Source organism: Homo sapiens, chromosome 7, assembly GCF_000001405.40.
Source record: "Homo sapiens chromosome 7, GRCh38.p14 Primary Assembly".
NCBI lineage: Eukaryota > Metazoa > Chordata > Mammalia > Primates > Hominidae > Homo > Homo sapiens.
This window is the reverse complement of record NC_000007.14, coordinates 30601525-30628020: the sequence shown is the minus strand read 5'-3', so window position 1 is coordinate 30628020 and position 26496 is coordinate 30601525. Positions and strand designations below refer to the sequence as shown.

The window sequence follows — 26496 nt, the reverse complement described above, 5'->3', positions numbered from 1 at the left end:
GTTTATACTGTGTAAAAATGAAACCTGAGGTACTAGAATATTCCTTCACCAGTCAGCAAACTACGAATAGCAGCAGCTACACTTTATCTCTATTACCTGCCTCGGCTACCCAGAAAGCATAAAAAATCTAAGGCTTTTAATAAGATTTTGCTAGAATTTAAAATCTAACACAGCTGGCAAAATTCACAAAAACAATTCCTACATGCAAAAAGTATTACATGGTTTGTATTTGTTTAACTTTTTAGCTTGTTATCTTGATAAGAACTTGTTCAGAACCAAATTACTGGCATTGTATCACCAAGGTTCTGGGGTCAGGACGCCCTTAGGGGAGAGTTTGCTCAAAGAACAGCACTCCATCAAAGACATCTTACAGGGGCTCACAGCTCTTCATGTGGGTAAGACAACACCCGTGGTATACACAGGAAATATACTGATAATTATTACTTATTATGTGGAAAGGAAGAAGCACTGCTAAGCAATGTCCAGGTCTAAGATAACTGGTCATAACTTTGGAAGAGTTTATGTTTTTTGGGAAATGAGATCATTGGTACCAAAACTCACACACATATGGGAAAAGAGAGCCTGTTTGTCTATGATAAAGAGTTAATACTTTAGAAACATGATCAAGGCATTTTCCTCCCATCCTTCTGTGGTATCTGAGTAATGGTGATGTGCAGCTCTGAACCAGCTGCCAGGATCATGGCTATAAAGCCCCAGACTGTGACGGAAAAGCCCCAGAGTGTGATGGAGAAGCCCCCGCTTACTCCTAACACTGCTCACTGAAGCCTGGCTACAAGACAAGCCAAGAACAAAAGGAAAGGTATGCTCACTCTTTCCACTGGCAGTAGCTTCTCAAACACCCATTACTACTCCGTTTCCAGGAATTTCAATTCAGCCACAAATAAACTTCAGCATCCTTCATACGTGCTCCAAATTACTCATTGCCTAATTCACAGAATTTGTTCTACAAAAAAACATCTTCTTAACTTTTAAAAAAGCATGCAACATCACTGGTCTAAATTACTTTTTTTTTTTTTTTTGAGACGGAGTCTTGCACTGTCGCCCAGGCTGGAGTGCAATGGCGTGATCTCGGCTCACTCCAACCTCCACCTCCCGGGTTCAAGGGATTCTCCTGCCTCAGCCTCCCGAGTAGCTGGGATTACACGTGCGTGTCTCCATGCCTAGCTAATTTTTGTATTTTTAGTAGAGACGGGGTTTCACCATGTTGGCCAGGTTGATCTTGAACTCCTGACCTCGTGATCTACCCGCCTTGGCCTCCCAAAGTGCTGGGATTACAGGCGTAAGCCACCACGCCCGGCCCCTAAATGACTTTTTAACAAGTTATTTTGCCAAAGAAGACAGGGAATGAGGGCCAGGCGTGGTCACTCATGCCTGTAATCTCAGCACTTTGGGACGCGAAGGCAGGTGGACTGCTTGAGCCTAGGAGTTCAAGATCAGCCTGGGCAACATGGCAAAAACCTCATCTCTACAAAAAATACAAAAATTAGTTGGATATGGTAGCCTGCACCTGTAGTCCCAGCTAATTCGGAGGCTGAGACAGGAGGGAGGAACGCTTGAGCCGGGGAGGCAGAGGTTGTGCCACTGCACTCCAGCCTGGGTGACAGAGCAAGACCCTGTCTCAAACAACAACAAAAGCTTTAAGGAGCAGTGACTTTTTGTTTATTATTTTTACAAATTTACCATATAGTGTTTTCTGGAATCTCTTCACATTGATCATGTCTTTTGTTAACTGAAATGTTTTCCCTTCAGTTTCAATTGTGAATTCCCTACGAAGAAACAAAACACATTTTGTATTAGTTCAAACAGGCACCCTGTGCCTTAATTTAAAGGAATTTTGTAGATTGCTAAGTTGTTTTTTCTTTTTATAACTTGATCAACTCTCCAGATATAATAAGTGATGTCAAATTTAAATTATTTCATAAGAAACACCAAATTAAGCATTAGTCTAACAATGGCACCAAAAAGTACTCTGAGGACATACACCAAATTTTGACTAGTTTTATAAAACTCCACAAGTGACTTAATGACAAATTCCTTTGGTTTTGAATCAAGGTAAAACCAAAAACAACTTTTTGAAAATTCAGTTTTAGAATAATAACAACTTTGTCAGAAATAGGCCTGCTGGTAAAAACACAAGGGTTCTCATTACTGTCCCAACAAATGTACAAATGAACCAGCATGCCATCTTACAGAAGTAATTTTACAATCCAATACCCACACTATTTTCAAAATAAATTTGGACATTTGTGTTGATGAAGATCAGTTTAAAAGAAGTTTAATGTTTCTGTTTCATATGGCAATATAAAATATTATCCCCCTCAAAATCACTGGCTGCCATGTATTTGTGTCCTGAGATATGCCCATTCAGTTTCAGGTTATAAGAATTCATCTTTATAAAGAGCTTCATGTAATACCTGTATTTCAGCTTAGGAGGTATTTCCTCACATTTTGAATATCCATTTGGATTTCTCCTCCCTCCCAAGCAATTCAGTGCTAGGATAGAGAGCCCTCATGTGGTTGTCTCAGAAGCTGGATAGTTGGCATATGTTATAACTGTATTTTGCTAGTTTCCACCTGTGATAATCTCATGCCTCATCTGACTGGTGTTCACTGAATTCTTCCGTTTTTACTATTCTGTCTGAAGTCTGTGTGTGCATGCATTCAAGGTTCCATTACATACACAGTGTCACATGCATTCTCTCTGTGAGCACAGTCTAAGTGTATCATAGTTAACAGCTATAAAAGAGTTGCAATTGGGTCAGGCGAGGTGGCTCACACCTGTAATCCCAGCACTTTGGGAGGTCAAGGTAGGTGGATCACCTGAGGTCAGGAGTTCAAGACCAGCCTGGTCAACAAGGTGAAACCCCGTCTCTACTAAAAATACAAAAAATTAGCTAGGCGTGGTGGTGCACACCTGTAGTCCCAGCTACTCGGGAGGCTGAGGCAGGAGAATTGCTTGAACCTGGGAAGCAGAGGTTGCAGTGAGCTGAGATCACGCCACTGCACTCCAGCCTAGGTGACAGAGTGAGACTCCATCTCAAAAAAAAAAGAGTTGTAATTGACAAGGAGACAGCCATTATTTGAGAATAATTAATAAAGCAAACTGTGTTTATGGATAATGATATTTAACTAGTAATATAACTTAGTCCATTTTAATGGGATTTGATATTGTTTTAGTATAAATAGATGTTAATTCTGGAAGACGAGAAATGTTTTTAAATTTTTCTGAAACAGGTATCTTCAACTTGCAAGAGTTCATCTTTGTCCCATCTGTTCTTTGTTCCTTTTCCTTTTCTCCCATCTTCTTGTGGAATATTTTTTCTTATTCTACTTTATCTCCACTATTGGTTTATTAGTTACACCCCTTTTTTGTGTGTGTTTTTTTTCCAGGTGATTGCTCTAGAGTTCATTCTATCCATTTTTTAACTTATCATAGTTTATCTTCAAGTAATATTACACCATTTCACATATAATGTATACACCTCACAAGAGTATATTCCCAATTCTTTGCTCCCACCCTTTGTGCTACTGATAGCATACATTTTACTTCCATGTTATAAATTCCATATTACTTTAAATACTCCATTATCTTTTAAAGAAATTAAGAGATGACAGAGAAAATGCCATTTCTATTTACCCACATATTTATCATTTCTAGATCTCTCAAGTCCTCTGGGTACATCTAAACTTTCATACTTCTGCCTGAAGAAGTGCCTTTAACAATTCTCATAGTGGAGGTCTGCTGGCAATGCACTCTCAGAGCCCCGGATTGTCTAAAACAGAGGTGTTCAATCTTTTGGCTTCCCTGGGCCACACTAGAAAGAACTGTCTCGGACTGCACATAAAATACACTAACACTAACCACAGCTGATGAGCTAAGAAAAAAAAAATGCAAAAAAACCTCATAATGTTTTTTGAAAGTTTACGAATTTGTGTTGGGCAGCATCAAAAGCCATCCTGGGCCACATGCAGCCTGCAGGCCGCAGGTTGAACAAGCTTGGTCTTAAAGTACTTCCTCTTCATTTTTGAAAGATATTTTTGCTGGGTGTAGGAATTTTGTCTTAAAGCACTTTAAAAGATTTCATTCCATTATATTGTGATCCGCGCAGTTTTTGATATGAATTCTAATCATTCTTATCTTTGTTTGCTTTTATGTGATGAGTCTTTTTCCCCACTAGCTGCTTTAAAGGTTCTTCTCTTCATCCCTGGTTTTTAGCTATTTGATTCTCACGGGTCTTCATGTGGTCATCTTCGTGTTTATCCTGCTTGGGGCTAAGCTTCTTGAATCTGTAGTTTTAGCGTTTTCATCAAATTTGTAAATTTTCTAGCTACTGTATAATATTTTTTCTATACACCCTCTCTAGGACTCTCAATTACACATGCATTAGACTGCCTGATATTGTCCCACTGGACATCTTTTTCCCAGTCTCATTTTTTTCTATGCTTCATTTTGGATAGTTGCTATGTCTTTAAGTTCAATGACCTTTCTTCTGTAATGTTTAATCTACTGTTAATCCCATCCAGTGACATTTTCATTTGAGATATTGCCTCTAAATGTTTCATGTTGTTTATATATATAAAAAACATGTGTTTATATCCATATTACACATATATTTTTCCATTTCTCACCTCACATGTTAATGTTTTCCTTTACACCCTTGAGTACATGAAGCATATTTATAATAAGTGCTTTAACATCCTTATGTACTTACTGCATCATGTTTGTTTTTTCTGGGTGTTTCTTTTGACTGACTTTACTTCTCATTTTCCTGCTTTTTCATATATATAATAATTTTTATTGTTTGCTGGATATTGTAAGTTTTACACTGTTCAGTGCTGGATTTTGTTGTATTTCTTTAAAGGCTTTTCTCTATTTTTTTTTTTTGTTTTTTTTTTTTTGAGACGGAGTCTCACTCTGTTGCCCAGGCTGGAGTGCAGTGGCACGATGGTGGCTCACTGCAAGCTCCGCCTCCCAGGTTCACGCCATTCTCCTGCCTCAGCCTCCTGAGTAGCTGGGACTACAGGCGCCCGCCACCATGCCCGGACAATTTTTTTGTATTTTTAGTAGAGACGGGGTTTCACTGTGTTAGCCAGGATGGTCTCGATCTCCTGACCTCGTGATCTGCCCACCTCAGCCTCCCAAAGTGCTGGGATTACAGCCATGAGCCACTGTGCCCGGCCTTCTCTATTGTTTATATTCATGCTTAAACAATTACAGAGAGTATTCTAAACCTCCAAAAAGGAGAGAGAAGTGACCTGAGAGATAGTAGATGTAGTTTCTAACCCTTCCTTCCTCAGCCTGGCTGGACAAGTCTCTTTGTTTAAGACAGTTACTAGGAAAAAAAAAAAGTATATTCTATTTCAAATCTTTTTTCAGGCTATAATGCCAAAATCTCGGCAAAGACAGTCTTTTAAATGCAGCCAAGATACAGTACTTACCTGCAAAAAATCTTAAGAAATTAATCTCATCCTTTCAGAACCTGGCAGATGACACAACTGACTGGAGCCCATGGAAGAGTAAACATCTGATATCTTACCCTTTCTCATTCAGCAGCATCTCCATTTCTGTAATGTAGCACTCATCACAAATGGCAAGATACTCCATCACCAGTTTTGCATCCTTCTTATATGCCTTACCAATTGCTCCCTTACTGGGTTCAAACTGAACAACATTGACTGTTTTGTATGAAGTAGTCAAGGAATCCAAAACTACAGCACTGCCTCAGTATTTCAGAAAATGAGCCTGAGAACAATCAATCATCAACTTAAAACCATGCCAGCTCTCTATCAGTACTCCAGATCCTGTTTATGCTGATTTTAAGGCAAGATGAAACACCTGTCCACAAAATCATTCAGACAACTCTCATCCAAAATTAACACCATCAATAGAAACTTTTCCAGTTACAGTGAGAAAAAAGAGATATTATCTAATCAGCAATGACCCAACCCATAGCATAAGAACTTCTGATAAGTATTTCTAAAATGCTCAAAACAAGATCTATTTCCTGTCACTGACCTACCCCTAAGAAATCAGCTCATAACTTCACTGCCTACTAAAGAAAGAAAATTTCTATTTTGCTGATTTTCAGACCAAGTGAGCTAAATTATTATTTCAGCTACTATCAAATGGCACTCATCTTTTAATGGAAAAAGCTTTCACCAGGTACCCTTTATTTAAAGAGCACGTAGGTAGGTGCAGGTGTGAAGTGCGTTTTGGAAACAGCTGAGAAAAACTATTAACGTTCTGAAAGATATTCAGAGCATTTTTCTAAATATGCTTCTTTTAAAGGCCAAACATTGAGTGGGCACACGTCAGACTACAAGTACAGAGAATAGGAAAGGAACAAAGGGATAGGTAAAATAATAGGTTTAAACAAGCGTTACTACAGTGTCTAAAACATCTCCATTTATCCATAGAACAAGGTAAAGACTTGGACTTATTCATTAGCAAGATGTTCACATGTGAATCCTGAGTTTTTGGAGTGACCAGAAAGGATATGGGTTCTTTCAGAGGTTTCTCAGCTACAAGTGGGACTTTGGTGGCTCGTGCATGACAGGAGAGGTCATAACAGGAACGATCAGCACATCCAACAATCTCAATCCAACCCTAAAAAGATATAATCAATAAAAACATTACTTACTTATTATTACTTATATTGGGTTCATTCACAAATGCATGCAGATTATAAACCTTTCATATATTCAATGATAATTCGATGATATAATCTTCATTCAAATTTCATAAATATTTGAAATGGGAATAGCCTCATATATCAGGCAGCTAATAAGCCTATAAAATATAATTCACACTGATCTGGGTGTGATGGCTCATGCCTGTAATCCCAGGTACTTGGGACGCTGAGGTGGAAGGATCACTTGAGGCCAGGAGTTTGAGACCAATCTGGGCAACACAGTGAGACCCTATCTTAAAAAAAAAAAAAAAAAGAAAGAAAAAAATATATAATTCACACTGTACACAAAGTAGTCTTCCTTTCTGGATGGATTTATATTGTTATACTGAGTCTGTGGGGTAAACTAACATATTCTGGAATTTAATTATGGAAATTAAATGTGAACCTAGACAAAGCCTGTAAATTTGGTTCAAATTTGTGAACAGAAATCAAAATGAATTTGGCAGAAACCACTATTCTTTAGATGAAGTACCTAGTGTTCTCACAACTTGATATCAGATGGCTGACTAAACACATACTTCAGCTGGCCATAAATGTGGGCATTTGGATTCAATTCACTTTCTTCACTGAACAAAAGAAAACTCAGTATAAGAGTGGGTAAAGTTCAGGTCACACAATAAAATTATATAAGAGCATTATGATCACATTGATGCCAGGTTCCCTTTCTTATAAATACACACATAAGATACTTTTAAAAAGCAAAATTTAAATTATTTTCAAAGAACCTGCAATGAATTGAATGCTTGTGTCCTTGACAAAATTCGTATATTGAAATCCTAACTCCCAATGTGATGGTATTAGGAGGAGGTGCCTTTGGGAGGTGATTAGGTCATGAGGATGGAGCCCTAATCACTGGAATTTGGGACCCCAGAGAGCTCTCTTGCCCTCTTTCACCATGTGAGGATACAACAAGAAGTTGGCAGTATGCGACTGAGAATGGGGCCCTCACAAGGATCAGACGATGCTGGCACCCTGATCTCTCAATTCCAGCCTCCAGAACGGTGAGAAATCAATGTCCATTGTTTATAAGCCACTCTGTATGTGGTGCTTTCTTATAGAAACCCCAACTATGACAAACTCTTAAGAACCCGTTATTTCAATAAGAACAAGAGTTTGTAAAGAGCTTATTTTGGTAGATACCTAGTTAGTCCTTCTCAAGAAGATTCATTTTTTTTTTTTGCCCTTGATCCAAAGAGTTTGGGGAAATTCAACCATCAAAACTACTAAGCTTGGCCAGACACAGTGGTTCGTGTCTCTAATCCCAGCACTTTGGGAGGCTAAGGCGGGTGGATCACCTGAGGTCAGAAGTTCAAGACCAGCCTGGCTAACACGGAGAAATCCTGTCTTCATGAAAATACAAAAATTAGCTGGGTGCAGTGCCATGTATCTGTAATCCCAGCTATTTGGGAGGCCGAGGCAGGAGAATCGCTTGAACCCAGGAGGCAGAGGCTGCAGTGAGCTGAGAGTGCACCACTGCACTCCAGCCTGGGTGACAGAGTAAGACTCTGTCTCAAAAAAAAAAAAAAAAAAAGAAAAAAAGAAAAAACTACTAAGCTTTCCAAGCACATGTTATCACATGGGGTGTCTGTAATAAAGCAAGCAAATATAAAACTCATATGAGCTCAGAAACTCCAACACAAAACAACAACAAAAGGAATTAAAGAACAAAGCCTAAAAACATGTAACCTGGCAATCTGACATTCCCTATACATGTCGACTGGTTAAGTATACTTATGTTCTTAACCATATAGTTTGGTGGTTATAATTTACTGCAGATGTCAACTAACATTTATGTACTGAAAGGTAAAATTACAAAAACGTGCCTGAGAATAACAACATTGGGATAGTGGTTACTTCTCTGGATGGAAAGAGAATTGGTGTGGCATTAACTGCAACGGTAAATTTTTTTATTAAAAAAATATATAAAGTACACAAAAAGTATTAAACTCTCTAAGGGAGTTCTCCCCTCTCCTTAAGAGCCTCTGGGACTCTGGAGCTTCTTGTTTCATTTAGCCCTGTTTTCCAGTGACTTTCCATTTTCTGATCCCTAACCCTCACAATGGCACTTAGATAAGGACGAGCAGGCATCCAGTGGGGTTTATAAAGCAGTACAGCATAACTGTTAAGAGCATGAGTCTGGTGTCAGACAGCCAGGTTTATATCCCAGCCTCACCACTCACTGGCTGTGAGACTTAAGCAAATTACTTAACTGAGACAGCAAGAACAACATCTGGTTTAATCTGAAATCAGAATCAGAGCAAACTAAGAGAAGGAGCTGGGTATGAAACAAAAAGAAAAGTAATAATCTTTTCTCATACAAAAGGAAAAACATTTTATTGGTTTGATCTGAAAATAAAAAGAAGTCCCAGAAAATCTAAAAAGTGTAAAGAAATTAATGATCACCCATAATCCTAAAAATAATTACTATTATCATTTTGACATATGTCAAGCAAGCTTGCTAAGAAAATCCTAACAGATTACAGTAATTCTTTCTAATTCCACAAGGGAAAAAGAATATATTAAAAACAACATCATTAATAGCCATTTATAAACATATGCATATTATTATGCATTTATGCATGCATGTGTTAGAACACGTAGAAAAATCATCTAGAGAAGGCAGACATACCCAAGACCATGGAGCTAAGCATGATCTTTTTTCGTCTGTTTGTTTGAGACAGGGCCTCACTCTGTCACCCAGGCTTGAGTTCAGTGGTGCAATCATGGCTCACTACAGCCTCAACCTCCCGGGCTCATGTGATCTTCCCACCTCAGCCTCCCAAGTAGCTGAAACTACAGGGGCGTGCTATCACACCTGGCTAATTTTTGTATTTTTTGTAGAGACAGGGTCTTGCTATGTTGCCCAGGCTGGTCTCAAATTTCTGAGCTCAAGCAATCTTCCCACCTCGGCCTCCCAAAGTGCTAGGATTACAAGCATGAGCCACCACACCCAGCCAGTTTGGACATTTTTTAAAAGCTGTTTTTTACAAGCTGTAAAAAACAACAAAGTTATGTGACAGAGACTCATAAAGCTAAAAATATTTACCATCTGGTCCTTTATAGAAAATGTTTGCTCAATACAGAGAAGAGACATAAAACACCTGGGGAGAGGCATATAACTGGAAGTTTAATTTTCTACATAATAGTCTTCAGAATTATTTTTTCCTTTTTGTTTTAAAAAAAGTAGTCATTACTTTTTAAAATATGACTAATTTTGATTTTTAATTTTTAAAAATCCATAAAAAGAAAGCCATTCTGAAAAGTAAAAACTGAACCAAGGGTATACTGGAACCAGTGACCCCTGGACTAAAGTCTCTTTCTATGTAGGCGAGGAAGCCTCTCTAACACCCAATAAGAGAAATGCCAAAAGACTCTCAGCCTTGTTTTAGATGCCACATTTCCTCCTGCCACCAATATAGACAGCATCTCCTATATGCAAATGCCTTTCGTCCCTCCGCTTCAATACTGATGTTCATGTTTGGTGGTGGAGGCTGGAGGGGTGACAGGGCACAGGGGCAGGAGGGTACCTGGAGATCGTCTGTGAATTTTGAGTTAAATACATAACATTTGAGGAAGGTAGTTCTTAAGCCAGAGATCAGAATCAACTAGTATATTCCCCAAAGCTACTACATAGCTCATTGAGCTAAGAGCACTATGACTTTCTTTATTCAACCTCTCCACCATTTCCAATGTTTGCTGGGACTCTTGCCAGGAAGGAGAGGCCAATGTGTCTTAGATCCACTCCAGGATATTGCCAGTAATGCTGCCAATACACTGTACAGCAGTGTACACATCCGCACTGTCCCATCATACACTAACTCTGTCTCTCAGCTATCTAAGACTACAACGAGCTCCTTAGGACACTTATAAAAAGGCAGGAGGCAACTGCTTTTTCTGTTTTGCTCAGGAAAAGATCTCTTTTCTTTTCCCTTTGTTCCTCTGTGACATAAAGTGCACAAAAATTCATTTGGTACCTGTGCTTCTAAGTTAACAATGTGAAAATCACATGGTAAACAGCACTCCACTTACGTAGGATGTTTTGGATTCTGCATCCCAACAGTCACAGGCATAATGGGCCATCTCATTCTCCATGTGCTGCCGGAAGCGGAGTTTATCTGGAGATATTCCAACCTTCGTGAGGTAGAGGTAGATGCGGCCAATGAAATAGCCTAATACTGTGTTATTAATCACACCCTAAACCAACCAATAAGCAAGCATGGAGGAAGAAAAGAAAACACACATTAATACTCTTCAAAGCCAAGATATCGGTTTCCATTGACTCACTCTACTGAAAAATATTTGACACCCAACACAAACTATTTTATCTTGCTTTCAAAACAATTTCAAATACTCAGAATGAGATCTTGGTTATTTTTTAATGGGTTAATGTCAAGATGATGATAATGGAGTTATTCAAAATCTGTCCAACATACTTACTGGGTCAGCAAAAATTCAGCCCAGTACCTCATACCTCTAAATCTACAGTACTAAAAACAATATTCATAATTGACACTAAAGAATGGCAAAGACATTCCCCTCTGAATTAACCAAAGTAATGACACGTTGAGGGGATTTTAATGTATCCTTACCCACTGAAATTTGTGAACCCCGTAGAGTACACGTAATCATTTTAGTGTTTGCAAGGACCTTAGAAAACATCTAGCCCCATCTCCATACACTGCAGAGGTCTTCTCTGCAAAGTGGCTGACAAGCTATCGTCCAACCTTGCCAGGAGTATTTTCAGGGCCAGGAAGCTCACTGCTCCCTGAGGCAACTCATTCCACTAGTGGACAGCAGCTACTGTTGGCAAGTTTTCACGCACTCACTTCTCCAGGCAAATATTTACAAAGTGCTTATATGCAAGGCCTTATTCCACTGCTATGGGTAATACAGAAGAGTCTGAAACCCAGATGGCTTGCTTTCTGTGGGTCCAATGCTGTCTCCCCCAAAGTAGTACATACTGTTGAGTCAGATTGGTGAGGCACAATGCAAACCAAGATCTATTTTCCAAGTGCTCTGCTAAACATTTTTTTTCATGCTAGCCCCAAGGCCCACAAATTGAGATGTTCAGGTGATTTTTCTCTTACTATAATAATACTGTATAACAAATTCTGTACAAAACCAAGTACTGTAAAAAAGCAAATGACTGCCAAAATAAAATATCTTGTCACCCAGAACACATAGAATTTGCTAATTGCTGCAAACCCTGAACAGGCACAATCTAAGTTAAGTTACCTCCAGAATCCTACCTGTTCAACAGCATCTCCCAGGCGCATTTTCCGAGCGGACTGTCCGCTGACCTGGGCTTTTGCTGAATACAAATAAAGGTGAAGGTCTGCCACATTCTGGAACTTGGGGTGGTCTTTCTCACTGGGATCTACAAAGTGCTCAATTTCTGCCATTGTGAATTCTCTGAAAGCAAAAACGTAAGCGATAAACCTGCATATTTAACTACAAAAAACAAACAAACAAAAAACAAGGCCTCTATTTTCAACTGCATTCTAGTGATAAAGGCTCCATACTATAGTGGTCTTTTTCACTAAACAGAAAGTTGGTTTCCTAAGGGAATGGCCAAAAAAATTTTGAATTAAATTTGTCTGGGTAGTTGTTATTTTTATTTTTTTGATGTATTATATTTGTACAAATTTATGGGGTACATGTGAAGGTTATTTTTAAACACATTAATGAAAATTTTATTACTCACTATTTAAAATAAACATGATCTAACTTCTCTGAAGTATTAATTCCTTCCCTCCAGCTACATCCAAAAAGATTATTACTTTTAACTGAAAATAACTTGTTAAAGGCAGATTAATATAGTTTTTTAAATTAGGAAAACATACGCAAAAATCACATGAAAAATAAGAAATAAGATATTGAATAGTGACATGCAGATAAAATGGTTTTCCTTAAAGCATTAGCAAGTCTTTATAAGTATACACTAAATGAAGTTTCTTCATCCCATTTCAAAGAATGGGAAATTAAAAGCGAAATGAAATGGTTCTTTAGCTTTCATAGCAGTTTGATTTCTTCTTTTTTACTGCTACAAAAAAGTAAATGACTGATAATGGCATCATACAGTTGGTTTCTTTGGAGCAAGAGCTTCTTAAATAAAGTGTTATTCAAGGCAAAGGATATAAGGCATGAATTGAACAAGCTAACATCAAGCTAATTACCTAACGATGAAGTGCACATAGTAATGGTTTCCCAAAGAGATTTCTCTGAATGCAATTTAGTAGCTATTTGCGGGAGAAGTGTTTCAAGTTAATTTTATGAGTCAAAATCAATCTCTCTTCTTTCAAGAAAAATCACATTTTCTGGTGTGCTTCCATGATTATCTCAGATGTTTTACGAGTAATGTAAAATTGCTTAAATGGATCCTAAAAATACATGAAATACACTGCAAAAGAGGTTTAATTTTTTTTTTTTTTTTTTTGAGACGGAGTCTCGCTCGCCCAGGCTGGAGTGCAGTGGCGCGATCTCGGCTCACTGCAAGCTCCGCCTCCCGGGTTCACGCCATTCTCCTGCCTCAGCCTCCCGAGTAGCTGGGACTACAGGCGCCCGCCACCACGCCCGGCTAATTTTTTGTATTTTTAGTAGAGGCAGGGTTTCACTGTGTTAGCCAGGATGGCCTCAATCTCCTGAACCTCATGATCCGCCCGCCTCTGCCTCCCAAAGTGCTGGGATTACAGGCGTGAGCCACTGCGCCCGGCCAAGAGGTTTAATTTTTAAATTTTATTTTTTAATAGTGTCTCTTATTTGGTCCTGCTGCACCTATGTTTTAGTTGTCTTTCAACAACTAGGAAACATCTTCTGTGCCCATATAAATGTGAGAGAAACAAACATGGTGTTTGTCCTCACATAGCTTATAATTGGGCTGACAGCAACTGAACATCTACAATGTGGGACAGGATAAATTACGGGCCCTGCCTAGAATCTCCAAAATGCTGCTGCCAAAGTCTTTCCATCTGTTCTGTCACAAATCTCAGCACTGTGTCTATAGTTAATGATTCACTGTATACCTGAAATCCGCTCAAAGAGTAGATGTTAAGTAGATCTCACCACTAAAAAAAAAAAAAGTAACTATGTGAGGTGATAATTATGTTAATTAGCTTGACTGTGGTAATCATTTCACAATGTATAAGCATATCAAAGCACCACACTGTGTGACTTGAAATCATACAAATCATACAAAATTTACTCATCAATAATCTCAGCTCATAGATAGGAGGCAGGAATCATCAGAATTCTGAGTAACTGTATCTCAGTTCAGCAACTGTACCTGAAACTGTAGAGAACTAAAATACACACAGGCTAGGAAGACAGATAAGTCAATCAAAATAAAATAAAATTTTAGAAAAATCTTCATATGAACAATCTAATACCTCTAAACTAACAAAAGGACAAAAGGAAATACAGCTATGCAAAGATTAATCACCAGAGAACTCTGCCATCAAGAAGAATCAGAACACTAAATAAACCAATCCTAGTCCTACCATGGAACAAAAGCCAGGAGGATGCTGACTCATGAAAAAACTAGTGGACTTCTGGTCAGGAACTTGCAAGGGACATAACAAAACTAGCCAGAATTCAGACATGACACTTTGAAGTGAAAATGACCAAAGAATCCACTGTTGAGAAGCCCCAGAGCCTTTCTACCAGTTAACCCCTGGGATCACTCCCAAGTTCCAAGCTGGTTTCCCTACTCACCACTTTTTTACTGCACAGGCCCCAGACACTGCCTTACTTCTCAGTCCTTCTCAATAATCTTCCCATAGCTACTCTGTGTAAACCCTCTTCGTAACACTGGCTTCAGACAAGGTCAGCCTTACGCAGCTTCCTCAGTTTGGGAAGGCATACTTGCTAGATATTGAAACGGTGAAAAACAAAAAAACAAAAACACTCAGACACTGGGAAATAAAACAAAGACTCAAATCTGACAAATTTGTCATTGCCATCATACCTGGCTAAAGTTTCTGATGACCTCCTCTTTTTACATGAAAGCTCAGAGGGGTCATTCCCCCAACTTTCTCTAAGTTGGGCACATTCTTTCCTCTGTAAGTCCCTCCTTCCTAAACCGTAAACCTGTAGGGCCTAGAGATACAGTTTGCGCAGAACATAGGCATCTTCTCCCAGATGGCATCATGGGAACTAACAAGATGAGGCAGGTGCTGTGGATGCTTTGATCCAGAGTCAGTGACTGGGCTATGTTATGACCCAAGTCTGTAATTACAGTGAGTAAGAAGAGAAGACAGGAAATGGGTGGGCGCTGGGGCTGGGAAAACACTTTGGGGCCTTAGAAAGTTATGTTTAGCTACACCTCGTATTTTATATGGAATGTATTACTCTAAGAGATGATACCAGGAATAACGTATAGAAATCACAAAAAACTTAAGTCATAAACAGCTGAGTCATAATAAATTTCTAAAGAAATATAGAACTCACCAGCCCCAATATGCCTTCCCACACATCCCTGGATAGATCAGACAAAAGTAGGCTATTTGAATAGAGGCCAAGTGAGTGATGAGGGTAAGCTTGCTTGCTGGCCTTTCTGTCATATAGGCCCCCCAAATACCTGGACGGAGGTTGTTTCCAGAACTCCAGTTGGTTACTGATACATCCTCACCCCAACTTCAGCAATGTTGTCTGCCCTAGATATCTAGAACAATCCTCCTGCCACAACTTTCACCCTACCCCCACCCGACCCCACCCTTTTATACACATCACCATTGCCAGTATTGCCTTGGTTTAGACAATCAAGATATTACCATCCTCAAAATATACGATGAACAAGGAAAAAGGTAATTTTGGAGCAGGTGAGACTCTTAAGACAGTCTCCACCCTCCTTCCTTTCCCTTCAAGTTCACTTTTGTCACTCAAAACTGCCTGTCATCCTGGAGATTACATTTAGAGATTCCAAATGTAAAACATGATTTTTGGAGAAAACAAAAATAAATTCATAATCAGGATTATGAAGCAGAATTGCTTCAAAACAGCAAGCTTTCATTTTCAATGCAATGCCAAGGTCATTCACTAATTTGTAAGAGTAACCTGAGCAGTACCTGACTCTGATCAGTCCAGATCGAGGGGAGATCTCATTTCTAAAAGAATTTCCAATCTGGGCAGCAGCAAAAGGCAACTTTCCTTGGTTGAACTCCAAAAGTCGTTTGAAATTCAAGAAAATCCCCTGTGCAGTTTCTGGTCTCAAGTACCTATAAATTTAAGTAAGTCAGTCTGTTACAAAGAAAGAAATTATGTTTTCCAACAATCCTGAAATTCTAGATACAAATCCTAAAAGTCCTAAATATACCATTTTCACAACAAAGTTGAACAGGCCCTAAAATGAAGTTTTAGAAATATTTTCCTCGGTAGCAAACATTTTCATAGCACGTATTAGAAAATGTATTAAGTAATTAGTGTGGCAGTACTACTTTGGCAATGCCATTTCATTTAATTACACCAGTGAGTCAAAACCCCACTTCTCAAAAAGCAGAAATAAAAATAAATTTAAAAACACCACCTCAGGCCGCGCGCAGTCGCTCACACCTGTAATCCCAGCACTTTGGGAGGCTGAAGTGGGCGGATCACCTGAGGTTGGGAGTTCGAGATCAGCCTGACCAACATGGAGAAACCCTGTCTCTACTAAAAACACAAAATTAGCCAGGCGTGGTGGCACATGCCTGTAATCCCAGCTACTCAGGAGGCTGAGGCAAGAGAATCGCTTGAACCTGGGAGGCAGAGGTTGCAGTGAGCCGAGATCACGCCATTGCACTCCAGCCTGGGCAACAAGAGCGAAACTCCATCTCAAAACAAACAAACAAAAAACACCACCTCTCCCATAGTGCCCCTTAAACCCCTGATGTCTTCTAAGTCATCATGTACATGGAGGCAGATGACAATCTTAGGTCCTTTGGAAAATAATACCCATGCCTATGTTTAGCCCTGTTAACCCACATATTAAAACTTAACTGAGGGGCTAAAAAGAAATCAGTATAGGCTCACATTTAACATCAGCACTCACTTATCACTATCACCTCACCAAGCCAGGTAATTTTCAATGTTTTTCAAATCATTTTATTATCTGCAGTATTTTATATTTTCAACCAGAGGCTTCCGCATTTCTCTGTATTTTAAAGATATAGTCAAGCAAATACACTACTATAACCACTGCCCTCTCAATTTCCTAGAAGATATTCTGTGCAAAACATCCACTAAGGAAACGCTCCCAATGGCCTACTTCAGAATAAGTATTTTACTAAAATAACTTTAAAACCAAGGGCTAAAAACCCTAAAATTGTACCCTCTTCTTACTTAACAGACCAACTCTTTTGATTTTTATGGCCCTTTCCAGATTTCATCCAAATGTAAGTAAAGTTTATACATATATTTACAGTTAGTATGTATAAAATCATGTATTACCTATTTTATACTTCCCATTTTCTAAATAATGGCACAAATTTCTCACATTTAATAGTGACAGAATATTATCCCAAACTAATCCACTTTACCATAATTTGTTTAACCACTCTCAAATTACTGAATAGGTTATTTCTACTTTCAATTTATATACTTCTTCTAAGTATAATTTCCTTTCCTTCTGAATTATTTCCTTAGATCAATTCCCAGAAATGGAATGTCTGGGTCACAGGTTATGTCTCATTTTATGACTCTGTACATATGGCCAAAATGAAAGGCTTGCCACTGGCCTCTTTCCATGAAATATTCCAAATCAACCTGATGTCTCATTAGAATAATTAACTGCAACACATTTTGTCACAATTAATTTTTCTTATTCTTCAGTCCCTACTCTGGGAAACACGATCTATCTAGCTCATGTAGGAAAAACTTACTCTCTTACCCTATCATAGAAAAATATCTAAAGCTATGAAATGGAACACTGGCTAAGTCTGTTAAACAGTGGACAAGGAATCAGAAGATAAAGATTCCAATTCTGAATCATACTGTAAACTAACCAGATATTCTTTATCCATGAAAACCACATCTTTCAAATCAACAGGCTATACCTATGCTGTCCAATATGGTAGGACACCAGGCAGATGTCTATTTAAATTTCAATTAAGATGAAATAAATTTTAAAATTCAGTGCCTCAGAAGAACTGGACCCATTATGAGTGCTCAAGAGCCAAATGTGGCTGGTAGCTAATCATACTGGACAACACACATTACAGAACATTTCCATCACTGCAGAAAGTTCCGTTGGACAGTAGCATGCTAAACTAAATGGTTTCTAAAATATCCTTCAGCAATAAGTTCAACGGCTTTTAAAACCATTCTTCAACTGTCCCTTCTACCCTATGCAGCTATAACTAGAAGATATAGTGATCAGAGACTTTATTTTATGCCAAAAAAATACATATATGCCAAAAAAGAAATTATATTCAGAAAGAATTTTTTAAAAGATTTATTTCTGCCATTATTTCTCCATAATACATTCATCTGTACTTCTGTATATCACTTTTTAAAAATTTTTCCTTCATAACATTGATATTTACCTTTTAATATAAGCAATTTTAAAAACTTCATTACATAAACAGGTAAACAATAAGTGATACATACCCAGGCATGTTTCCTCCAGGCCCAATGAAAGTCTTGAACATTAAGTTAAAAGACACTGGAGGGGATAGATCATTTCCAGTAATGGGAGATTTTACATTATAGTTCACAAAAAGATCCGCAAGTTCTTGCTGTCCATAGTTATCAAGCTAAAAGACATATAAAGAAATTAGTGTAAAAGACAGAGAAAACAAGGCATAAGATATAAAGTATTATATATAACCCTAGCCATCCACTGCTACAATCACACAAAATTCAGGAACATCACAATTAACCTAACCTTCAGGACACCCACATTAAAACCATAACCAATTTATTCACTTTCCATTTATCAAGAGAGAAAAAAATATCCTTCTGGGACCTAAAACTCATATAGTCACTGTTTCAAAGTGAAAGATAAAGCAAAATACCTCTTATTCAATTATAATAGTTATTGGTTGGCAAGAATCTGAAATTACCTAAATAAGTTTTCAAAGCTGAATTTTACTACTCTGAACATATTTAAGGTGCATTTCTGCATTTCTCTGTATTTTAAAGATCCAGTCAAGCAAATATACTATTAATAGCCACCACCCTCTCCTCAATGGAGTAATTAAATGTGCATTGAACTTTCCTTTCCCATTAGATATTAAGCGCCTAGAAGACAGAAGCTGTATCTTATTCACCTCAGCATTTTCCAGTGTATTGCACATTCTATACATTGATCATCAGTGCCAAATCCTGTAAAATGATGTATGCCCTCCAATTTAAGAATTTCAAGTGACTATGACAAACCATCTAATAGTAAGCAGTATTTAAAACTTAAAAGTTTCCTAACAGAAACAAAATAATTCAGTAAATCAATTAATGGCCATAATAACTGAAGCTTCGAGTTCAGAAAGACCTTGGCGTATCTCCCAACTCTACACCACTTATGGGTTGTGTGACTAAAGATTAAGTTCTTACCTAACCTCTCTAAGAACAGGGGAGAACAGCTTCTACCTTGCTATGCAGGAATATGATGAAGATTAAACAAAACATGTAAAGTATTTAGCACAGGCAGGACCTGGTACATAATAACTACTCAATAAAGAGCAATTATATTTGCTACCCTCATAAATCCAATGGTATTTCCACTCCATAAAAAGGCAACCCACTCACACTAACAACATGTTCCAGATTTGAATGTGCAATTTAAAATATTAAGCCTTCTAGACTCTATTTCTACAGAATTTCTAGGAGGAATCCACAAAATAACATTATACAATTACCCAAGAGGCTGGATCAATGAGGAAACTGTTCCAGTGAACTTCAAGACACGGGTACCATAAATATAAGCTGGTCCTACTAGAGTAGAAAGTTAAAGAGCCTGAGGAACATCTATTTCCCAGGTAATTCAAGAATATATAGTGTTTTCCAATAAAAGGCATAATTTAAAAAGAAATCAGGAGGAAAAAGATTCTGCCAATACAGATAGAAAGCAAAACCCCTGGGAAAGGGAATCTGGCAATATCTAACATTACTATATTTGTATTTATCCTTTGTCCCATTTCTAGGCATCTATCCCAAAGACACAATAGCAAAAACATGAAAAGATATAAGCACAAGATTATTCAATGCAGCATTATCTGTAATGTTAAAGATGGGAAATAACCTAAATGTCCAGCAGTGGACAACTGGTTATGTAAAATATATCCACACAATGCCCAATTATGTAGCTATAAAATGGAAGGAGGCAATCTCTATATACTATGAGGGACCAATCTCTGAAATATTTTGTTATGTGAAGAAAACCACAATGGAGAAAAGTGTGTATGGAATGCAACCATTTATCTAGAAAGGAGGGCATACAAATATCTATATGTCTTTGTTTATATTCTATTTTTTTAAAAAAGGAAGTTGTTTTAAGTTAAAAACTGCTCAGGAAGCAGGGAAGCAGAAGGACGGAAGGTAAAGGGAAGAGAAAGATAGTAGACTAAATATACCTTGTTTTTTAGATTTGCCTTTAGAGGTATAAAAAATGCTTTATATGATTATAAAACAAATTTTAACTTTTTTATTATACTTTAAGTTCTAGTGTACATGTGCACAACATGCAGGTTTGATACATAAGTATACATGTGCCATGTTGGTTTGCTGCACCCATCAACTCGTCATTTACATTAGGTATTTCTCCTAATGCTATCCCTCCCCCAGCCTCCCACCCCCCGACAGGCCCAGGTGTATGATGTTCCCCACCCTGTGTCCATGTGTTCTCATTGTTCAATTCCCACCTATGAGTGAGAACATGCAGTGTTTGGTTTTCTGTCCTTGTCAGAGTTTGCTGAGAATAATTGTTTCCAGCTTCATCCATGTCCCTACAAAGGACATGAACTCATCCTTTTTTATGAATGCATAGTATTCCATGGTATATATGTGCCACATTTTCTTAATCCAGTCTATCATTGATGGACATTTGGGTTGGTTCCAAGTCTTTGCTATTGTGCTATATGATTATAAAACAAATTTTTAAAAAGGAAACCCTGAATACTGAAAATAAAATGAAATATATGGACTAACTGCATATCTAGCTGATGGCATAACCACACAGAGAGAATGACTCCAAGTGACTTTAAATACAGTTATCAGACTGTAAGACTACACAGTGCTGGCATATCCCTAAAGAAAAGAACAATAAAAGTGTTTTTAACTGTTTTCAACATTCATATTGCTGATGGTGGTGTTGGTATTGTCATTCTGAGACTGTTAACGTATACAGTGGGAGATAAGGCACATCAATCATTATGTTTTGTTGCTGAGAACTGCGATTTTTGGTAAGGGTAAAGGAGAGAGATTTAAGATTAATATAGTAAAAACCCTATAAACCTAACTTTAAGTTAACTATTAAGTATCTATATTAACTCATGAAAAGTTTATCTTTTAAAAAATATCAACTTCCTAGCTCAGATCACTGACAAGGTTTATAATTAGTGATCAATACCATCCCCACTAATAAGTACCAAGTACCAGGGCTCCTTGGAGAAATGTCTGATTCCAAGTCTGGGACAGGAAATGTATAAGATGAGATGGCAATATCTTGTCATATTAAAGGAAGTTTTCAGAGACTACAAGGGCTGTGTCAAAAGGACTCAGCAGAGAACTCCTAGTCACCAAAGACTGGACAATTTAACCACCAATAAGATAACTGCAACTGACTGAATATCAAATATTTGAATCTAAAGTTCACAACAGTAGGAGGAAAAAACGAAAAGGCAGGCAGGAACTCGTGCATTTCTGAAGGATGTTAGGGAACCAACTAATGGAAAACAGGTTTAAAAAGACAAGGGGTGGGAGAATGGATGAAGCACTTATTCTCACCTTTCTTTACAAATCGTGTCTCAGTTAAATCAAATAGTTGATAGAAAGTTTTTTCATATAGAAATAGTCTAGCTAAAAAAAAAAAAAAAAAAGAATAACAATGACAAAAATCACCATTTTGAAATCCCCTCATCAGTTAATGCATCTAAACAATGGACATCAATGGCCACAGCCCACAGAAGAGCTAACCAGGTACTATGTAGCTCTGGACAGAAGTCCATAACACCACTTAACCAAATGTCTCGCCAAAAATACCTGGTCAAGCTTCTAAATCTAATAGAGAAAAAGATGAACATGTGTAACCTCACTACAATAACGTAATTAGCCAAATCCAGACAGTAGAAAACAGTAAGGAACAAATGACTCAGCTTCTTGAAAAAAATTTTAATGAAAATGCGGGGAGGGAAAAGGGAATGAAGGAAGGCCATACAGATTGGAAGAGATATAAGAAACATATCAACCTATCACAAAGTATAGACTTTATCTGGATCCCAATTCAAATTTTAAAAACTGGAAACATTTAAGACAGCCTAGAAAACATGAACACTGATCAAATATTTGATGATATTAAATTATTAACATTTCCCAAGGTAAGAGGATTGAAAAGGATTTTTTAAATCCTTTATTTTTAAAGGATTTTTCTCTTTTAGAGATAGATAATGAAAAATTTACAGGTATAATAAAATAATGTTTGAGATCTGCTTCAAAAAAATTCAGGCTGGGCACCATGGCTCACATGTGTAATCCTAGCACTTTGGGAGGCCCAGACAGGAGGATTCTTGAGCTCAGGAGGTCCTGGCTGCAGTGAGCCATGTTCGTGCCCCTCCACTCCAGCCTGGGCTACAGAGTGGGGCTCTGTCCCCACCCTACCACACACAAAGAATTAGGGGAAAGAAGTCAGGAAAGTGAGAGGGGAATAGATACAAAAAAATCTAACAGTGAAGCAGGGTGATAGGTACATAATTGTTTATTATGTTTTTATTTAACATATAAAATTTTGTATGTTTTGAATTTTTCATAAACAAGTTAAAAATGGTTTTTAAAACTGGAACATCCAGAGATGGGCCACAAAAACAGACAGAGAAGAGAAACAAAAGAATTCGTTCTGAGCTGTTAAATCCACATAATAGGAGTAGAGGTCTTCCTACCACAGAAGGTGAATCAGGGCCTTTTAAAGAAACAATGATGCTTCATAAAGCTGAAAAGGAGTCAGACACTAAGGTGCAGAAAACGCTACTCTGTGCTTAAGCAACAGATGGGCTTTCAGCCAGTGAATCCACCAGGGCCATTTCTGAGTGCTACACCATTTCCCATGGGTCCCTTACTTTTCATTGAAGATTATATTGACAGCTGTACATGCATCTGATATGGCAAGTCAAAAAACAAATTGCTCTCCTAGAACACAGATCTGAAATAAGAGAGAAGGCCAATGCTCAAACAATAAATTGACTTGTCAAATCAACTAGTTACTTCCCAACTCTGACAACGTACTTGGAAATGAATAATACTGTTAAGATCAAAAACATATACACAAAACCTCAGTAAATCTAAAATTCTGAATGGAAAATTTTAGGGATACTTAGAGGCATTTTCCATTTTTTCTAATAAAGGGCATGCCTTTGGATAAGAAAATGAGATGAACGTGTGGCTTCAACAGTATCAAAATGTAAGAAATAATTTTCTAAACCATGAGTAATTACTAAAACAATGAGCTTCAAGCAAGGGATAAAATTACACTCCACAAGTATCAAAATAAATCAGCAGATGATTCAACAGCCAAATTAAGAAAGTTTTCAATGTAAATGAAGAAGGAGAAATTATTTTAGCTATGTTGGAAAGTTAACTATCACAGAGAAAAAAAGCATGCTAAAAAAAAAATTAGGACAACAGTGGAAAAGTATCCAGTAATTCCCATGAAAAACAACATATTAGGGAGTTCTATATTCAGGCAGAGAGAGAGAGAGAGATCGGTGTAAAGAAAATAGGTATAATCACAGTATTGGTTTTTTGTTTTTTGCCCAAGGAAGTAAATAAAATTTAAGAGGTGAGCCTCAGTAGACCTCATGACTAAACATGGTGTTGGAGAAATGTACTTTGCCTAAACGGAATAGCCAACAGATGAGGTGAGACACCAGCAACATATATACATGAGCACATGCATCTTCCCAGGGAGACGTGCAGTTTTGATCACATTCTTAGGGTGGTCTGTGACCCAACAAAAGGATAAGAACTACTTCTAATATAGAAAGTATTCCTGCAATTGGTAAAAGGTCAGAATAAATTATCTCTGTGGTCTCTTTTTTGTCTTCTCTAAAATTTGTCAGCTTAAATATTATACAAATTATAAAACTTTAGGCCTATAGGCAAACTGAGAAAAGCAAGGACAGAAAAGTCAGGACCTGCTCATGAGGTTCTAAGAATAATAGCATGAAATCAGGGTCCAAGCAGAGGCAGATCAAGTAGCCAGTGAGAAAGTGCTCATCAAGTTATCTGCCCCGAAGTCTCCACACCAGTGCTGAACACTACCCATCATCAGTCACTCCTGTGGTTTTAGCTATTAAATCCAGAAAAGTAGTTTCCAAGGTCAGACAAATTGAATGCCTATTAACACGGACTTGTTAGTTTGGGCTGAAATAAAGGGTTAGTCACAAAAGAGAGAAGAAAATAAAAATGCAAAAAAAGAGACGCTATACAGGACAGAATTAACCTCTGCTTCATTACAATGTGGCCAGGGTCAGCATAATGGGAAATGCAACAGTCATTAAACACTGAAAGAAGGACAGCGACCACCTAGGTTACTCTGATAACATCTCTAGAGTACTCACCTGGGCCAAAACACTTTCCATTTCTGATTTCTTTTCGACAGAACACTTCTTATCAGACATCAATTTCTGTAAATGAGCTGTAAGAACAGTGTTGACATATATCAATCAATGGGAAAAAGGACAATGCACTTTTCAGTTTCAATGCTAGACAATTAAAAAGTAAATCCAAGCATAAAGTTCTTAATTTACATGAATCCCACAGTTGATTTTACAACAGCAGTCATGGTATTGTCTTGATTCATTTGCTAATTAGAAAAATTATCTGTATATAACTAATTATCTACATATAACTTTTTTAAAAAATAAAGGACTTGATCTATATACTTAAGATCTGTGCACTTTGCTCTTTGAATGTTATGCCTCAATAAAAAATTTAATGAAAGACATCTGAGAGAAAGTTTAAACCTTTTATTTTGATCAATCCTACCTGAAGGAGATGAAGAACCTCACCTTTTAATAGATGGTCAGCACGAAAACATTCTCCATTTTTTACGTCTTTCACCATGAAGTCAGCAAATTTGTCTACATGGCCAGAGGTCCTAAATTAACAAATGCCAACCCAATTTGTCATTCTCATACAAATTACACATAGATATTACCTTATAAGATAATTCCCCATCAATATTTATATCCATCTCAAAGATGGAAGCTCCCATATCTATAGTAATGATGTATCCATGACAGTAATGGATGCCAGAGAAAATTCTTCCTCAAATCTATTTCTCACCCTCTCCCACATTCTTCCTTCCCATAAGAAAGAAGACATTAACTAGACAATAAAAAGACAATTCTTTTCTACAAGTTGTCATAAAGTCTGTACTATTCTTCAGGATCAATTAATCCATGCCTATGCCATTATTATTAGTGATCTAAGCAAAGGCCAAAATCACTGGGAATTTGACTAGTTAAGAATTCATGGCAGCTCAGTATAGACATTGAACCTTAAGGGAAGTGTTTTCTGCCACTGAAACCTGTACTGACATTGGTATTATCTCTACAAAGTTCCTATTGGTGGAACAAGTAGCTAAAATGATAGGTAGTCCTGATCTTATAGAGCCATCATTCAGAATTCCTCCTCTTCATTGGCTGAAATTATTAAGAGAACCTAACGGATGCCAATAGTAAAAATTAGCTCTCCACCAGTCAACCTTAAATGAATAATGACGAGTTACAAAATGGCAAGAATTCCTCTTTCAGGCCGGGCGCAGTGGCTCACGCCTGTAATCCCAGCACTTTGGGAGGCCGAGGCAGGCGGATCACGAGGTCAGGAGATCGAGACCATGGTGAAACCCCGTCTCTACTAAAAATACAAAAAAATTAGCCAGGCACGGTGGCAGGTGCCTGTAGTCCCAGCTGCTCTGGAGGCTGAGGCAAGAGAATGGCGTGAACCCGAGAGGCGGAGCTTGCAGTGAGCAGAGATCGCCCCACTGCACTCCAGCCTGGGGGACAGAGCGAGACTCCATCTCAAAAAATAAATAAATAAATAAAAGAATTCCTTTCAGTTTCACATTCTGAAATTCTGCCCTACTTTGGGAGGCCGAGGCGGGCGGATCACGAGGTCAGGAGATCGAGACCACCCTGGCTAACATGGTGAAACCCCGTCTGTACTAAAAATACAAAAAAAAAATTAGCCAGACGTGGTGGTGGGTGCCTGTAGTCCCAGCTACTTGGGAGGCTGAGGCAGGAGAATGGCGTGAACCTGGGAGGCAGAGCTTGCAGTGAGCCGAGATCAAGCCACTGCATTCCAGCTTGGGCGACAGAGCAAGACTCCATCTCACACACACAAAAAAAGGAAATTCTGCCCTACTTTCAATAACGTTGGTAGGAATAATCTAAGTTTCTGCATTGAAACTTTAAAACAAATAGTATTTAACTGAAAATCTCTACAAGTATACCTTTGCTCAGAACTTGTATTAAGGAAATAATCAAGGATATACCCAAAAATCCATCTATCAAGATATTCGGTGCAGTCAAAAATGAGAAACACTTTAATGCTTTCAATATGGCACAAACTAACATATTATGGCACTTCCATAAAACAGAATACT

At 37.9% G+C, this 26496-nt stretch overlaps 1 protein-coding gene across 2 annotated transcripts in view; it reads right to left on the bottom strand.

Annotated features, from left to right (window-relative positions):
* GARS1 (glycyl-tRNA synthetase 1) overlaps positions 1-26496 on the bottom strand; it is a 39299-nt gene that overhangs the window by 6013 nt on the left and 6790 nt on the right. For both annotated transcript variants that reach the window (NM_001316772.1, NM_002047.4), the window contains exons 5-13: positions 24899-24987; positions 24449-24525; positions 18291-18436; positions 15776-15925; positions 11963-12125; positions 10743-10907; positions 6521-6628; positions 5559-5704; positions 1702-1787 (exon numbers count right to left, since the gene is read on the bottom strand). In NM_001316772.1, coding sequence (NP_001303701.1) covers positions 1702-1787; positions 5559-5704; positions 6521-6628; positions 10743-10907; positions 11963-12125; positions 15776-15925; positions 18291-18436; positions 24449-24525; positions 24899-24987 — 1130 coding nt within the window. The remainder of the gene's footprint in view (positions 1-1701; positions 1788-5558; positions 5705-6520; positions 6629-10742; positions 10908-11962; positions 12126-15775; positions 15926-18290; positions 18437-24448; positions 24526-24898; positions 24988-26496) is intronic.